The sequence below is a fragment of the Homo sapiens genome, chromosome 4 (assembly GCF_000001405.40).
Source record: "Homo sapiens chromosome 4, GRCh38.p14 Primary Assembly".
Lineage (NCBI taxonomy): Eukaryota > Metazoa > Chordata > Mammalia > Primates > Hominidae > Homo > Homo sapiens.
In genome coordinates, this window is record NC_000004.12 from 99570694 (window position 1) to 99588908 (window position 18215).

The 18215-nt window shown below is 35.5% G+C and overlaps 1 protein-coding gene across 3 annotated transcripts in view; it reads left to right on the forward strand.

Annotated features, from left to right (window-relative positions):
- The window catches only part of MTTP (microsomal triglyceride transfer protein), a 59868-nt gene that overhangs the window by 6564 nt on the left and 35089 nt on the right, over positions 1 to 18215 (forward strand). Inside the window, exons 2-4 of one of the 3 annotated variants that reach the window (NM_000253.4) lie at positions 4116 to 4277; positions 11212 to 11399; positions 12681 to 12824. In NM_000253.4, the coding sequence (NP_000244.2) occupies positions 4217 to 4277; positions 11212 to 11399; positions 12681 to 12824 (393 nt within the window). In that variant the 5' untranslated portion in view covers positions 4116 to 4216. Of the gene's footprint in view, positions 1 to 4115; positions 4278 to 11211; positions 11400 to 12680; positions 12825 to 18215 lie in introns of those variants that run through there. The other 2 variants (NM_001386140.1, NM_001300785.2) reach the window with 2 other exon arrangements.

Below are 18215 nucleotides of genomic sequence, written 5' to 3' on the forward strand. Positions count from 1 at the left end.
ATTTAGGCAGGCCCAGTATAATCACAAGGATTCATAAAACGGAAGAGGGAGACAGAAGAGATGGTCAGAGTGATATGAAGTAAAAAGGATTCAGCTTACTCTTGCTGGATTTGTAAATGCAGGAAGGGACCACGAGTCAAGGAATGCAGGTAGCTTCTAGAAGCTAGAAAAGGTAAGAAACAAATTCTCCCCTAAAGCCTCCAGAAAGGGATACACCTGCCAATACTTTCATTTTATCCCTGTGAGACCAGTGTTAGACTTCTGACCTCCAAGAGTATAAGACAATAAATCTGCTGTTTTAAGCCACTAAGTTTTGTGGTAATTTGTTATGGTAGCTATGGAGAACTGATACAGTGCCTTTCAATAGTTCTTGGAAATTCTTCAAATATATTCCCCAAATATTGCCTTTGCACCACTCACTCTATCCTCTATATCTCTTGACCTCTCTTTAACATTTTTTATTTTCTTATTTTGGTAATTATTTAAAACAATTGGCTTCTTGTTCCACTTCAAATAAATTCATATTTTTATATCTACATATTAAGAATTAGTTCATAAATGTAATTGTTGTATCGTATATACTTTAAAAGGAAAATTGCATTTATACTTGGATATTATTATATTTTAGGTTTTGAAATTTCTTTTTTTAAATGTCTGATAAATTTATTCTGATCAAAATTAAAATCTTATTGTATTTACAGTAGTCTACTAAAAGAGTTTACATCAATTCTCTCCTTTAAATGCTAGCAATTCAGTTTTGTGTGGTCAAAGATAATTTAGAATCCTTTTATGGTAACTGATATGATACAAAGGATTTTTTTGGTTGTTGTCAAATTTGTATGTGCGTATATATGTATAGGGGGTAGAAAATTTGGTTAGTGACTCTATTTTGGAAAAATGAATGTTCTTTTTGGAGTTTTAGATTCCCAGTGTTTCAAACCAAGTTTGCTTTTGATAAGGAATTCAGTGAATCTTTATTTTCTCGTAGAGAATTTTTAAACAATACCTTTCAAAATATTGTATGTATTCCTATATAATTTTGCCTTGGAATAAAAAAAGTCATCACATTAAGAATATTTTTAACTTAAGAAATTTTTTCAAGATTCTTTCAAAATGCTAACTCCCTCATTGATTTGAAAATACTTTTAGAGTTTAAACTATTATGACCATGTAGGGATAACTTAAAGTGTCCTTCTAAATTTTTTTTTCATTAATGTCATGCTTCTTTCTAAGAACAAAGTGTTTCAATGTTATAAACAGACTGTTTTTTCACATAGCTTTCATACATCCTGACTTTCTATATCTAGTAGGGTAATACATTTCCTTCCAACCTTTAGTGGGGTGAAGTTCATTTGTCTTCTAATCTAAGAAAATACGTTAACTCCTGACAACCTCTGACACTCAACAGAAACACAACTGTACTTTGGAATTAATCATCCATCTTTATTTCATAGTCTCCTTATTTATCAATGCAAATGGAAGTATAGCAAATATTTCACAGTGTCATGTACTACCTAAGGAATTTCATTGCAATAGCATTGTTTTGAAATGTATCATTTGATTTTGATCTAACTATCATAGATCAGTTTTACCCCTGTATGTTCAGCCTGAATGTCTAACCACAATTTCACAAAAATCAAGGGCTCTGTTAGTTTTCATACAAAATTGTGATGACTTATTATGAAGACAGTCCCAATTAACAATTGCATGTCATCTGTAAGAAATCAATTTTTTTCTCACTCCCCACCTGTAATTTTTTTTAAGCAAAGAAGAATACTTGGGTCTAGGTTTCAAGGTTTATTTTTCTGTAGTCCTAATATCACTTCAGTAAATTAATCTGAGACTCATTTTTCTAATATGTCAAATGACTGTTGTAAGGATTATTATAAAAACGTAAGGTGATTAACAAAGTATGTAATTGTTCCATAGATGGCAGCTCTTGTTTTTTTACTGTGCTTTGCTTCTGCCCTGCTTCACATATTATGTAAAATAGCTGGTGAGTTTTAGGAGGTAGTGCTCACATGTTTGCACAGTGTTTGCTGTGGACGATCAACAGTAACAGAAGAGCATACTTCTTCGATACACAGAGTTTACTGAATTTGGAAAGGCTTTGGCATTCTTATGTCATCTGTAATGAAACAATCTCCAGAAGTCTTTTCTAAAATGTCCTTGTAAAAAGAAAAAAGTTATGTTTATATTTTATAAAAGGATGATGTTATTTATAACCAGCAGAAGCAGCCTTATTTGAACATCTTATGTTGAAATTGCTACTTAATACAGTGACTCATAGGAGCTTTCTAGTGGAAATCAAATGCTCAAATGAAATAGAATTTAGTTTGTTAGGCAATAGTGATATGTCTTTTATTGGTTGGACTCTGGAAAACACTTGACAACGAATAGTACTTTACCCGAAGGGCACGTATCATGCACCACATAGCCTAACCACAAACATTAAAGGTCTTGTAACTGTGAGCCTCAAATGAAAATACATAAGGACAGCTCTCATACAATCAAATACAATACAAACTAGCTTTTAATTTAAATAAATATGTAAGTAAAGTTCAAGTGACTATAATGATTTTATATCCCTATGTATGTATCACAGAAATTGTGGCAAACTGTAGAAATCTATTCAAATGGAAAGTAACAAAGCACTTTCACATTGCCTTGTATTCAAAATCCCTACTCTTCATAAAAACTTATATTTCTTTAACAAAGCTACTTTTCTGTTTAACTCCCGGAAAACTTCGTATTTATAACTTAAGGGGGTTTCTCCAACCAAACAATTTATTTTTGCTAGGTACTATAGCTATATTTTTTATACAAAATTTGTGACAGCAAATGAAATTCTAATCCCAATAGAAGAACAAACAATTTTCATGTTTCGATCTTCATATATATAATTCAAGAGGAAATATGCTTAACTTTGTAGATTTTTACATTTTAAATTGCATTGTGTCTGTATCAAGTCTACTATCTTTTACCTAGATTGTCTGGAAGATTTAAGCTCAAGGTTACGGTTTGAGAAAAGGGTTTTGAGAGTGACCAGGATAGATTTAAGAATTCATTTTATACTAAAATATGGCCATAAATATTTTTAAATACATTCAAATAGCCCTTTGCTGGCACATTTTTTCCCTTCTTTGCCAAAACATTCCCACAGGCGGCCTAAGTCACCTCATTTTATAGGTTTAGTAGGTTTAGCAGGCTTTATGTGCTCTAGTAGGGTTAGTAGGTTTTGTTCATATCAGGTCTCTCTCATGGGAGTTTCCAGGGACAAGGATTGCTTCAGTTAGTATGGCCTTAGCCATACTAGGGTATTTGCTTTAATTCTACAGAAGTTTTCTAATTAATATTCTGTAGCAAAAGAACTAAGATCTGGAATTCCCCCTCTTAATCTCTTCCTAGAAATGAGATTCAGAAAGGACAGGACTGCATCCAGCCTGTTTGGGAACTCAGACAAATGTGTGTTGTCACAGACACAAATAGAGGTCTACTATGAAATAATTGGCTTGCTAGTGTGCTAATGACAGACAATGCTGATTTGCTCCAACCTCATACAGTTTCACACATAAGGACAATCATCTATGTTTCATGAAAGTTCTATCTACTTTAACATTATTTTGAAGTGATTGGTGGTGGTATGAATTAACAGTTTAAATTTAAATCCTAAAATTCAGTGTGAATTTTTTATAATAGCATAAAAATTCAAAGATGTCCATACAAGAAAAATTAAAATTTGGTTAGGTTTAGCAGAGTTTGAGAATCCTTACTACCCTCCCACATAGTATTGTAATGTGAATATAGGCAGTTACTATTACAGGCATAATGATGATTATGTATTAAGCAGAAAGAAGTATCACCACCAGTTTTTTTCTTTGAATGCCCCTCAGTACTTCTGCATTTATAGGATGGTAGACTGGTTTGGTTTAGCTCTCAAAAGTGAAAACATTTAAAGTTTCCTCATTGGGTGAAAAAAATTAAAAAGAGTGAGAGACTGAAAACTGCAGCCCACCTACGTTTAATCATTAATAGTGAGCCCTTCAGTGAACTTAGGTCCTGATTTTGGAGTTTGGAGTCTGACCTTTCCCCAAAGATAAACATGATTGTTGCAGGTTCTGAAGAGGGTCACTCCCTCACTGGCTGCCATTGAAAGAGTCCACTTCTCAGTGACTCCTAGCTGGGCACTGGATGCAGTTGAGGATTGCTGGTCAATATGATTCTTCTTGCTGTGCTTTTTCTCTGCTTCATTTCCTCATATTCAGCTTCTGTTAAAGGTAAGTTTGTGTTGCCTTTTGCTAAACTTTAATTTCCATCTTTGGAGTTGGAGGCAGATACGTGCGTGTGTGTGTGTTTGTGTGAGTGAATAGTGAAAGAGTTTCTGACTAAACTATCTTCAAAACCATGTAACTTTGGAATGTTTGTGAAAGCATGGCTGAGTTGAAATGAAAACCAAATTCAAATCCCTACAAACATTAAGAAAACAGATATTTCTTTTAGTTTCAGTTCCTCAGACCAGTGTGTTCTTGCTTCAATTTCTCATTCATGGTCTGTTTTTAAAAGAAGGAAAAAAGATACCCACTATTGTTACCTGCTGTTGTTGGTCACATTGAATGCAGCTCCTTCATTTGAATTGTAAATGAGGATTTTTTTTAAAAACCGAGTTCTTAAATTTTCTTTTAGTTGCTTAGCAATGTGACCTCAAGAAGAATTAGACCCAATGAAAAAGGCATTTGATTTGCCAAAGAATTATGAATGAAATGGCACAACATATATTTAATTCCGTTACAATTAAAAAATGATAGAATTCATAGTGAATTAAAGAAAATTAAATTTCCTGATACAGATTTAAGAAATAAGACATTATCTTTGGAAAAATAATGTTGCTACTTACAGTTTCTATTTTAAGATGAAATTAATTTTAAAAATACATATGAATTAATACCATTGAAAAGGCAAGTGAAAAAACATTTTATGAGGAATGGTTTCATAAAACTGTTGTGAAGTGTATTAATATAGAATCATGTTTCAGATCAGCTACATTATAAACATCGGTTTTCCAAATGCTGCATTGTGTAAAATGATCACTTTTTAGTTTCTTAGGAAGACACACTGTTAAAAACCAATTGATATAACAACATAGCGTTATAGGGACCAATTTTAAAACCATGTACTCTAAGTAATTGATAGAAAACAATTCACTTATAAACTTATAAAACCTGTTAGGGATAAATGTGGCTTTTGATATTAAAGTAAAGTTTGCCTCAGGATTTTTTGTGTAGAAAATTTCCACATGAGGAAAAAAACCTAATCTTCATTATTGGAGCAATAGAGGGTTAAATTTAAACCAATTCACCTCAGCAAATCACACTGTAGGTTCTTGAACTAAAGAAAATATTTTCACCAATTTCTAAATATTTACTATTTAAACATACAGTTCTTACTTGGACAAAAGAAATTTTTTAATGAGAAGAAGATTTATAAATTATATCTGACTGAGAGTGTTATATAGAGGACTTACTATTTCATCTGCCAAATAAACTGTTGAGTAGTCAAAATATGTGTGATTTAAATACCATAGTATCAAACCTAATACCATAAGTATTTTGAGAAAAATAATTGAGACATGGTACTTATCATGAGCTTCTCCTGTTTTCCCATTTTATAAACTAGAACATTGGGTGACCTCATGTTTTCAAATATACTTATAAAAAATTTAAGGCCGGGCGTGGTGGCTCACGCCTGTAATCCCAGCACTTTGGGAGGCCGAGGCGGGCGGATCACGAGGTCAGGAGATCGAGACCATCCCGGCTAAAACGGTGAAACCCCGTCTCTACTAAAAATACAAAAAATTAGCCGGGCGTAGTGGCGGGCGCCTGTAGTCCCAGCTACTTGGGAGGCTGCGGCAGGAGAATGGCGTGAACCCGGGAGGCGGAGCTTGCAGTGAGCCGAGATCCCGCCACTGCACTCCAGCCTGGGCGACAGAGCGAGACTCCGTCTCAAAAAAAAAAAAAAAAAAAAAAAATTTAAATATACACATACACTAGACAATGGCATAATTGGGAAATGGCATAAATGAGAAAATGTGGTTTAGAATATTATAGGTAGCTACAGTTTATTGTAAACAAGCTTAGTAGTAAATCTAGATTTTTAAAGCTTGAAACATATATAATTTAGGGGCCACTTTTGAGAAAAGATTACAAAAATATCTTACTATTGCAAAGGTTACTGAAAAAGATATGGCATGTGGATACATTGCTAGGGTCCACTTCTGGAGTCTTTGGAAGGATCCTGGGCAAGAGAGCTTAAGCTTCATCAGCATCATGGTACGTTGCTTATGCTGATATCATAAATTAAAAGTGTACAACTTGAGAGCTTCTTTACCTAGATGGAATAACTTTTTGCATTATGGTACCATGATTTAATTATAGATTCTTTGCCCTTGTAACAACTGACATTAATTAGCAAACAACTTGTGAAGAGTTTACCTTAAAATCAGTCCATTTAAAATTTGGGGATCCCATGCCTCATTGCCTCAAAACTCATCTCTAAATTACCAATGCAACTGTTTGGTAAATCCTCAGATCTGGGTGGATGTTGAAGGGCAGGTTAGAATCTAAAGAAAATTGAGGCTGGGTGTGGTGGCTCATGCCTGTAATCCCAGCGCTTTGGGAGGCCAAGGTGGGTAGATCACTTGAGGTTGGGAGTTCGAGACCAGTCTGACCAACGTGGAGAAACCCCATCTCTGCTAAAAACACAAAATTAGCCAGGCATGGTAGCGCATGCCTGTAATCCCAGCTACTCAGGAGGCTGAGGCAGGAGAATTGCGTGAAACTGGGAGGTGGAGGTTGCAGTGAGCTGAGATCACACCATTGCACTCCAGCCTGGGCAATAAGAGCGAAACTCTGTTTCAAAAAAAAAAAAAAAAAGAAAGAAAAGAAAGAAAGGAAGGAAGAAAAGAAAAAGGAAAATTGAATGGCAGATTGGAATCTGAAGAGGGTATTAGGATTAGGATAAAAGAGCACATCTATATGATTTGCTGTGTGAACTTTCTAAAGACTCAAGTTTTCCCTACTTTTTCTTAATTATACTTTGTCATGGTTGGACTATTTTCAGCGCCTTCTCTGTGTTTTCCTTATATAGTATTTTTACCTTCTATTTAATTTTGTCACCTTTAAACCTGTACACTTCCTTCATTTCCAGTCTTTCTCTCAATCCCTCACCCCACCCTTACTTTTTAGTCAATTTTTATTAATCATCTTCCAGTTCTTTTTTCTTCTTACCCTTCATCTTCTTTTTTAACTTCTGACCCTTTAGTTTTCTGTTGGGTTCATAAATGCCATTACCTATCACCCTTATCATCACTGCATGTCTCTTCAAACCTCACCAATAACTCAGCTCTGCTTTGTCTTCTTGACTAAGCCAGTTATCAGTGATTGTACTCATATAAATCTGACAAAGGAGTATTTAAAAAATATTTCTTGAAGATTCAAAACTAACAGTTTTGTTGCTTTTAAGTCACTTAAAAATTCTAAATGCACTTGAAGGGCAAATGAAAGAGATTCTGACTTTTTTGGCTAATATTACTTTCTGTTTTGGTTTTATCTAACAACAGTTATCAAAAAATATTACTATACATACTCTGAAGAGCACTATCCTACAAAAGGAATTAAGTCAACAATATAAATGGGACATGCCCCAATGCCCAGTGTTGCCAGATCTCTGCAAAGCATAAACAGAGAAATACTTATCAAAAAGGAAAGTATAAGAGGATGACACTCTAGCACAGTCCACCTTATTTGAACCGTTTTAGGCTTTATCTCCTGTTGAAAGAGGTAGGAAACAGTTTGGAGGAATAAAGGGCCCATTCTTTTCTGTGCTTTAACATTTCCTACTCATAGTCAAAAATTGATTTATTATATGGCCAGTAAAGTAGAGGTAAGAAAAGAAGTGAATAACATAATAGTTTGGAAAGCTTTGGAATTTAAGAAAGGTTACCTTCCTACAAATGTTTCGTAGTTATTTTAACCAGAGGACACCTTAATATAGTCCACAGAACTTGGATTTTGGTAAATTTAAACATCAAATCTGCATTATATTTGCTATGTTGGGTTGAACTTGGGGTCAGCTTCTATCTGCTGTCACACAATGCTTACTTTTCAGAATTGCTCTGAGGATTAGATAAGACAACATGTATTTCCTTTATGCCCTATGTGGAATTTGATAGGTGTCATAAAAAGAAGGCCTCCTGACCGAAATATTTTTCCTGACCAGAAAGCCAGTATTTGAACCCGCTATAGAGTCCCCAATTACAATGCAGAAGACATAGAGATAAGAGGGAATCCCAGTCTTCATCCCCTTCAAGGTTTTTCCTGACTCTCTTTGCCTTCTGTGTCTCACACCTCAGTTTCTGCCTGACTTGGTGCTTGGACACAGCTTGGTTTTGTGTATACACATAGATCCTTTCATACTTCCTTCTCCTGGCTCTTCTTGATTCCTATGAAAATGCTTGTCCCTTTTCTTTGAAGGTTCGACAGATTATGTGACTTCACTACCCAAAATTCTATGGCAGCGTCCCATCTCACTCAAACTCCCCAAATCTTCCTGCCACCCATAGGTACCTCCTTTACCTTGTCTCCTTCACTGTGTCTTTTACTTATTTATTTCCAGCCTCTTTGGTCTCCCTGCTCTTCCTCCATTACACCTGCAGGAGCCCTCCTCGGGGCCTTTGCACTTGCTGTTTCCTCTGTGAGGGGAAGGGGTAGAAAGGGTAGGAGTTGGGGGAGGGGGATGCCCTTCCCACAGATATCCATGTAGCTCACCGAAAACCTTTGTCCAAAATGTCACCTTTCCACAGAGGTTTTTCTCTCAGCATCTCCATTCCCTTTCCTGCTTCAGTTTTCTTTATGAGCACTTCTATCATACTATATAACTTGCTTATGTACTCATTTTTTTATTGCCCTTCTCCATCGCATTTAAATGTACCTTCCAATTTACATTTACAAAGGGTAGAAAATTTACAAAGGGTATTAAATTTACAAAAGGTAGAAACTTTGTCTGCTGGTTGGGTGCGGTGGCTCACACCTGTAATCCCAGCACTTTGGGAGGGTGAGGTGGGTGGATTGCTTGAGCTCAGGAGTTCAGGACCAGCCTGGCCAACAAGGCAAAACCCTATCTCTACAAAAATATAAAAATTAACTGGGCTTAGTGGCGTGAGTGTGTGGTCCCAACTACTCAGAAGGCTGAGGTGGGAGGATCACTTGAGCCTGGAGATGAAGGTTGCAGTGAGCCGAGATCGCATGACTGCACTCCAGCCTGGGTGACAGAGTGAGACCCTGTCTCAAAAAAAAAAAAAAAAAAAAAGTAAAGAAAGAAGAAGAAACTTTCTCTGCCTTTCTCTGCTTGTTAACTGGTGTAGTCCCAGAGCCTTAAAAAGTACTTACTATTCAACAGGTACTCACTATATTCTAGTTGAATGAATGAATAAATTTCTAGCTCACTGCCTAGGAATGGAAAATAATTCAACCTATAGTTTTAGAGATATATAGTATAGATAAGAGCATCATCTTTAGAGACAGACAGCCTGGATTAAAATCATATCTCCAGCCAGACGTGGTAGCTCACATCTATAATCACTTTGGGAGGCCGAGGTGGGTGGATTACCTGAGGTTAGGAGTTCAAGACCAGCCTGGCTAACATGGTGAAACCCCGTCTCTACTAAAAATACAAAAATTAGCCAGGCGTGGTGGCACACACCTGTATTACTAGCTACTCAGGAGGCTGAGGCAGGAGAATTGCTTGAGCCTGGGAGATGGAGGTTGCAGTGAACTGAAATCGTGTCACTGCACTCCAGCCTGGCCGACAGAGTGAGACTCTGTCTCAAAAAAAAAAAAAAAAAAAAAAAAAAGAATCATGTCTCTATGATGAATTACCTGGGTGACCTTAGGTAAATTATATAGTTTCTGTGTCCCCTCAGTCTCTTCATCTATAAAATGAGACTAATAATAGTGCCTACCTCATTAGATTTTTGTGAGGATTAAATAAGTTAATACATGTAACATGCAGATGATGGATTTTTGACCACCATTTCCTCTGGGCAAGTACGTGCTGTCATATGTAGAGGAGACAGTGAACAGATTGTTACTGTGTAGGTGGGTAAGGCCTTTTCAGGCATTGCAAAGTAATTTTTGCTATCACCTTTCTCAGCTGCTTTGCTTCTTGTCTAGTCACCCCAAACCCCTTTTCTGTCCCTCTCCCCATATGTATATTTCCTGAGAGAAAAAAAGATTATGGTTGCGTGTCATAGTAAACTGGGCAATGCAACCCCATTAGCATTGAGGAATAAGGTAAACTGAAGTCTTTTTTAACTATCTCCTGAGAGCCATACATAGAAAATATACAAAAGAAAAAAGATTTATGTGACCATACATTTTAAGTCATCTCTGGGAAAGACTTGCTCCTTGGCATTTCTTTGGGCTAGGTAAACTGAATTGGATACTGTGTGAACTCATTCATACATCAGTTTTCTTGGCTCACAGTACAGATTTGTATACTATTTGATCTTTTTAAATTACCCCATGCCAACTTTAAGCCTGTACTAAGATTTCATATAGTAAAACATTATTTTATTCGGGCACAGCTAATTTAAAGTTACATATGTGCAACGCTGAAATGTACCTTTGTACTAAAAGTTTGATAATTACATTAATAGAGTAAATTACACTGAAGAGATGTTTCTTAAATATCAAAAATGTCCAAATTAAAGAACTTCCTTCTAACCACTAAAACTACCTTGGCATTGATCTGCTTGCATTTAAATAATACGTTAATTACGAATGGCTCATATTAAATTTATCAACCAATTCCTGGTGGGTCCTCTACTTGAAATCATGTTCATATAATTAAGAGAAATACAATGGCATTTAAACAAAAAAAAACCCAAAATATCTATAGTTCAACCATGGCACTATCGGATAAGTGATTAGGAATACAAACTAAGGTTCTCTGAAATGGGAGTTTATTTGTTTGTTTTTTGTTTGTTTATCTATGTTTTTCAAGTCAATGATTTCAGCAGATGAAGTAGCACCATGTTTCAATCAGCGAATATTTACCAAGCTTCCTGAGCCCCACTGTGGTAGAGAGATGCACTGATGGTGAGACAGCATGTTCCCTTACAATGAAAACTGGATATGTGTCATTATCTTTATGCAGGTCACACAACTGGTCTCTCATTAAATAATGACCGGCTGTACAAGCTCACGTACTCCACTGAAGTTCTTCTTGATCGGGGCAAAGGAAAACTGCAAGACAGCGTGGGCTACCGCATTTCCTCCAACGTGGATGTGGCCTTACTATGGAGGAATCCTGATGGTGATGATGACCAGTTGATCCAAATAACGGTGGGCATTTTCTACCAGATAAATGCAAAGATTAGATATCAGAAGTTTTTGAGAAGTGTACCATTGGACAGCACTTGTATTGGGTTCCCGTTTATAAATCCATTTAGTTTCTTATCTATCACTAAAACAAGCAGTTCTATGTATTTAAAGGTTTTGCTGATGAAAAGTGAACTGATCTTTCCAAGTTATTGCAACAGACAATAGAAGGTATATACTGGTAAACGACCAGAGTATGGTGTTCAATTCTATAGATCATGTTAATAGGGAAGTTATACTAGAGTCTTTTCAAAATGTTCTGGGAGAGAAGGGTCAATAATCCATGTTGTATGAAAAACAATTTAGACCACTCTAACTCAAGAGGAGATCAGTTAGGAGGTTCCTGCATTCCTTGATACAACAGGTGGAATTACTGAAGAGAGAGTAAACCTAGTCTGTGTTCTTCCTGAGGAAGGAACCAAGTACTCCCCTGAATAACAGTGTTTGGTCAGTTAAAATGGTTTAGATTTATGTGCTGAGAAGGGAGGCCAAATTAGTTGGTCTCTGGGGACTTTTCCAATTGTAATATATGGTGATTCCCTTATTTGCTTCTCAAGAACCTAAAGATAATAGATTCCTTGAGTAAAGTCAGTTATTCTTCTACATCTTGGTGTGAAACAGGTACACAGGACAAAGTACTTGGAACAAGTAGTTGCTGGTGTCCTTTATATTGAGGTGTCATAGCAATACATTTACAAGTGATATTTGCTTCTTTGGGTGTCTCTAATTGCTCTTGTGTTTTCCAAGTTAGATCTAAGCATCATCATCCATCTCTCTGAGCCATTTCTCAATACAACAGTAAACTGTTCTCCAGAAAACATTATATTCCTCCTTATTCAGTAATTAGACTTTATTTTTATTTACACAGATAAGGTAGAATAGGGCAGGGGTCCTTTCCAACAAGTGGTAAAGAAAGTGAAGTGATCAGGTAGACAGCAACCACAAAAAACAAATGAAGAGTGGCAATGATAGGAAAGAATCACACTCAAGTCACAATTATTTTAAGCCTAAAGTCACAGAGTTCTTTAAGTATTGCTATTTTTGCCTTATTAAAAAACCTAGTTTTTAAATACCTTCTCCATTCTTTTAAAGTGAGTGGCAAGGTCCTATAAATCATGAATTGAAAAATGACAGAAGAAATTGTGGCCAACTCTTTCTGTTTCTTTATCATTTTATTTTCAGAGATACTCTGATGAAGACAGATATAGGAAGTTTTTTTTAACAGCTTTCTTTCTGTTACTCCAGATGAAGGATGTAAATGTTGAAAATGTGAATCAGCAGAGAGGAGAGAAGAGCATCTTCAAAGGAAAAAGCCCATCTAAAATAATGGGAAAGGAAAACTTGGAAGCTCTGCAAAGACCTACGCTCCTTCATCTAATCCATGGAAAGGTAAAGGGGCGTTTAGATTCCACAACTTTTTCTCCAACTTCATATTTTTCTTCCCTTCAGTAGATATTATTTTGAGGTAATCACATTGTAACTACTTTTATGGTAAATGGAATTTCTTCAAGAACTAAAGAACAGAGGTTGTAAATTAAATGTTTCCAAACTGAATCAATGCCCTGAGTTCCCTTACATTTACTAGCCAATTTGTTTCCTATTTTTCTGGAAATCTTTATAGTGGAATGAAGTATTTATTTATTGATGAAAGGCATTATTAAAAGGTAAATTTCTCATCAAATTATAAGGGATTACAAACGTAATGTAACAAAGCAAGTCATCAAAGCATGATTGGATGAATTCAGGAAAGGAGACAAATTATGAGACTGAAATGATCCAACTGAGATTAGTAATATTGATTTGTTATGAGATTATCGATATCTGGCTAAAGTACAAGGTTAAAGATTTTAAAAGGGTATGACAAGTCTAAAGTAGAGTTTTTTTAAAGCCTTTAGAAATTATTTTAAAACTATGACATGGAAAAGCCTTTTATATATTAAAATAATGATTGAACACTTTATAATATATATTTGAAAATCTGTTTTAAAAATTCTATGTGTGCATTACTTATGGCTTGATTCTAGTCAATTGAAATGGTCTAAATAAATTTGGAATTGAGAAACAATTGTGATCAGTTGATTATTAGGCATTACATATTTGTGTTTATGAAAATTACAGATAGTGTGTTGACATACATAAAAATGTGTCTAAAGATGAGAGCTCAATTTTAGGAACAAAAGCAGGAAAACAGAAAGGGAACATTGAGTTATAATTCCATACGTCTCTGAAATTTCACTTTCTAAATTCAAAATAAAGAAAAACTGATCTTTATATACTGATAAAGTAATACTTTATTTATTTTCAACTGAAGTATTTGAAAACAAATACTTTGGACATTTCATATATGTATATTGCTAATCATGATGCACATTTTTATATGAAGTTCTAAAAAGGAACTCACAAGAAGAAATCTTGTGTTTTCACCTCGCCTACAACCAAATATGAATCACTATCTTCAAGAATGCTTTCTCTTCCTTCTTTACTTGTCAAAATACTTGCCATGTTTCTGACTGCTCACATGCCATTTCTGTCATAAAGTTCATACCCTTCCAGCCAGCTGGAAATAACCATCACTCTTTAGAATGCTCTTAGCACTTTGCAGCTCACTCATGACCCTTATCACTTTGTTTTTGGTCATTTGTGTTCATTGCTAGATTATGGGTGTTGGATAGAAAAAAATCCAATTCCTCTTTGTATTTCAGCCTCTCCCCTTCACCTCCATGCCCTTCCACTCCCTCCTTCCCCAAAGCACCCAGAATTATGCCTTGCACTGAATATTTTATGAAGCCTTCTCCGACATCTTTCCAAACCCCTGGGCCTATTTCTGTCAAAGCGTTTATCACAGTGTATTGTCACTCTCCTTTTATGTCTTGGCTCTCCACATTCAGAATAAGTTTCTCATGGGCAGAGTTGTATCTGTCTATTCAGCACCTTGCTCATAGGGGATACTGAATATAGATGCTTCTAAAATAAAGGATAAACAAATAAGATTATATGGGGCTCAACTGAGTTGAACTTTGATAAAGGTTTTACTTATTGTTTACTTAATAATAGCTAAAATGAACTAAGCACTTACTGTGTGCTAGGTGCTGACTAAAGGCATTACACGAACTGTCTCTTTTATTCTTGTAATGGCCCTGAGCAGTAAGGGCTGCCTTATCAACCTCTTGTGATAGATGAGGAACCAAAGTTAAGAAAAGTTAGGAAATTTGCCTATGGTCATACAACTGGCAGGTGGTGGAGTTGGGACTTGAAATAGAGTCTATGCTCAAACTTCTATGCCTACTGTCTTCCAGCTGGAAAGTATTTGGAGAAATGCCTGCCTCTTTGGTTGACTTGTAGTGTTCCTTATTTACATCATGAGATCAGTTGACTTATTTGATTTTCTTATGGCTCAACTTTGTTAACAACAAGAAATATTGTTATTTTCTTCTCTGAGCTTCCAATGTGGCAAGACACTTGAGTTCATAGATATTATTTGCATTTATAATCTTACTGACAACCAATCATTTTATAGCTCCTTTGGTAGCAGCTGAGTACAAAGTCTTCTGCTACACACATGAAAGGACTCAGTACCCTCACTGTTCAAAGGCTGGGATGGAACTGCCACATCATTATTTTAATAACTGCAATGGGCCAATTCTAGAGGAGCTATGATTTGCGATGATTTACTGTAACCACAGGTTAAAGTACATCATTGTATCTTTCAAGTATATAATAAAATATTTGTTGGAAAAAACTTAACAATGAGGACTAAGAAGCCAACAGGAAGTTTTGGCCATGTCACTGTCAGAAAGATCATTACTTAAATTATCATTTCAGTTTACTATGAGAGAAATTATGGACAGGCAGAGTAAGGCTATGGACAGGCTATTTTCTTAGAGAGCATTTTCTACCACAGGCTCAAATTAAGTTGTGCTCCTGAAGTTTCTGGGATTTCAAGGATGCTCATCAGCATGTAATTTTTGTCCTTCCAGACCTCCCCCTGTCTCCCTTTCCCATCTGAGGCTCTCATATTTACATTTTAAAAGAGAGTCCATTAAAATACTTAGATACATATTCATTGCACATCTTCTTTTTTCCATGCCCACTCATCTTCCCTACATAAGTGGGCATAACTCTAGTTTTGTCTACAAATCATTAAGTTGTAAACGTGACAGTTATCTGATTACGTTGATTAATGCTGACGAGTGAAAGATGCCTCAAGTTATACCATGGATTCTTTTTTAGGCCTGAAATGCTGCTCCAATTAACTGGATAATTACCAGATTTCCATTTCTGGTTTTGGCTTTGTGTTGATTAAATTAACCACGTGGCTGCTGAGTCAGACCTTTATTTTGTATTGTTTCCGGGCATTGATTTGCTCTCTAAATCAGCATGGCTCTTGTACACACACTGAACTGCCACAAGAAATGTGACACCTTGAAAGTCCTTCTGAAATTTGTTGTATATTTCTTTACTTGTTTGTTCTCCAGTGTGTCATTTCCTAGCCATGCTCTGTCTTAGATAGATATCAAAGATAAAATTACTAATCTTTGTTTGCTGGGATTCTTTTTATTATTTTTATTGTTTGGCCACTTAATGGAATTTAGTCTCCTCTTATTCTTAAAATAAATATAAAGGAAGGTGTGGAGAAAGGCATCTTCTTCCTAAGGAAAAAACAATATGAATGATGCCTACCTATTTCAAGAGGAAACTGGCCCCTCATATTTGGCTGGAAGAGGCACTGTACCACCTTCCCAGCCATTTTACCCAGTCTCCCTCTAGCTGTGGTTTCCTTGGGTTAAAGACTTCGTTTGTAACCAGGTCATACCTGCTGCTGCTCTTTGGAAGCTCTGAGTACTGTAAATTTAGATAAGAACCTGTGCTCTTGGATGTTCAGAACTAATTTCATTGCTGAATGAAGTAATCAACTTTATGGCCTGAGTATAATAAAACTTACTCAGTTCCTGTTGTGAAATAATAAATTTAAGATTATTGCTGTGACAGCCATGTGGCTTGAAATGCAAAATTCTGATTTCAGATTATTATTTTTTAAATGATTACAAGGCAGCTCAATTCTAACAGTTTTGACATTTAGCTGGTATGGATATCAGTACTATCTTCACTTTGGATCTCATCAGTCTACACTAAAGAAACAGAATTTAGGCCCTAGAAGTAGCAGTCATATAAAAGAAAAAGAGATGTGTTCATTTTTCTAGTTCTGGGGAAGCAATAAAAACTAATAGAAAGGATTAAAAAAACTTTTTTCATTGTGTTTCACAGTTTATATCTATCATTCAGCCTGCCAGGAGGGAAAAAAGGCTCTAACACCATTTTCTAAGGGATCCAGAGGTCAAGATCAAAACTTGATCCATTGCAGTGGGTCAGTAACAGATAAGCACTGAACCTTATGCACAGTCCAAAGATTAAATCCAAGAACTGGGTTTCCTTACCTTTTAGGTAAAACTTTAAAAATAGCTCAGATACATTTTGTAGCCTGGAAGGAAAGTGACATAGTGGTGACAATACTGGTATTTTTCCCACTTAGGAGATCTTGCTTTCTAAAGTATTTAAGGTTCATACCAAAAAGACATGGGCCATATAGACATGTGTGCATTGCCACTGAGTGAACACTTCTGACTATTTTGGGGCAATCTAGTTATGAACTTCTAATGGTCATGATACCTGGAGATACACTTCCAAATATTTGAAAAGGAAATTACACTGTGATTATTAGAGGAAGGAGATATAGTTTACAAAATAGAACTTCAGAAACTCAGGCTTGGGTCTGAGATATTGCCAGTGATTTGTTTGAGAATATGATACTGTGAATTTTCAGACACTGAGGTCATTATTCCAGTTCCTTTCTAAGTCGGACAAACACTATTCCAACATTTATAGGTTAGTCCAGTCTAATGACTAAAACTGATTGCCAGATAAAGTACCTAGTAAATCCATCACTAGGCAGAGTATATGTAGGAAGTAAAAATAGAGATTTGAGACACTTGTTTGGATAATTCAGGAAAAGTATTCTCTTCTTCTAAGGCACAAGATAATTTTCATGTAGACTAAATTACTGAGCTTGGTATTATTTGGATTCATTGCATAGCTATTGAGCTTTATGTTTTACTTTAGAAGCTATGGTTGGTTTTAAAGAGTACTAGGAAGGCATTCAGGATATTTCTGGTAGAAATGCTCAGCTATAATTATCATAGACCTTGGGAATTTTTACAGGGAACATGTATCTATCCTCTATTTCTAAATTGTGTGATGCATATCAAGTCTACAGGGTGAAAACCAACAAGCTGATTTTCATTAAATTCACTTTGTACTTTTATCCTTGTTTCTTAAACATTAGTTAAATTATCAAAATGGCAAAAGACACTTATCATCTCTGTGCCTATAAATATCAAAGATGATAAAACAAAACTAAGTGGCTTACTATTCCTGCCAAATCATAGTCACCCTCCTCATTTCAACCTCCTTTCTCTGCCTTCTGATGGTAACCTCAAAGCAGTGCCTGGGGCAGGTTATGCAGCAGTAGCAATCTCAACCTCAAATTTTCCAGCCTTCTGAATATATATATACACACATATATATATATGTTCATATATATACACACATATATATATGTTCATATATATACACACATATATATATGTTCATATATATACACACATATATATATGTTCATATATATACACACATATATATATGTTCATATATATACACACATATATATATGTTCATATATATACACACATATATATATGTTCATATATATACACACATATATAT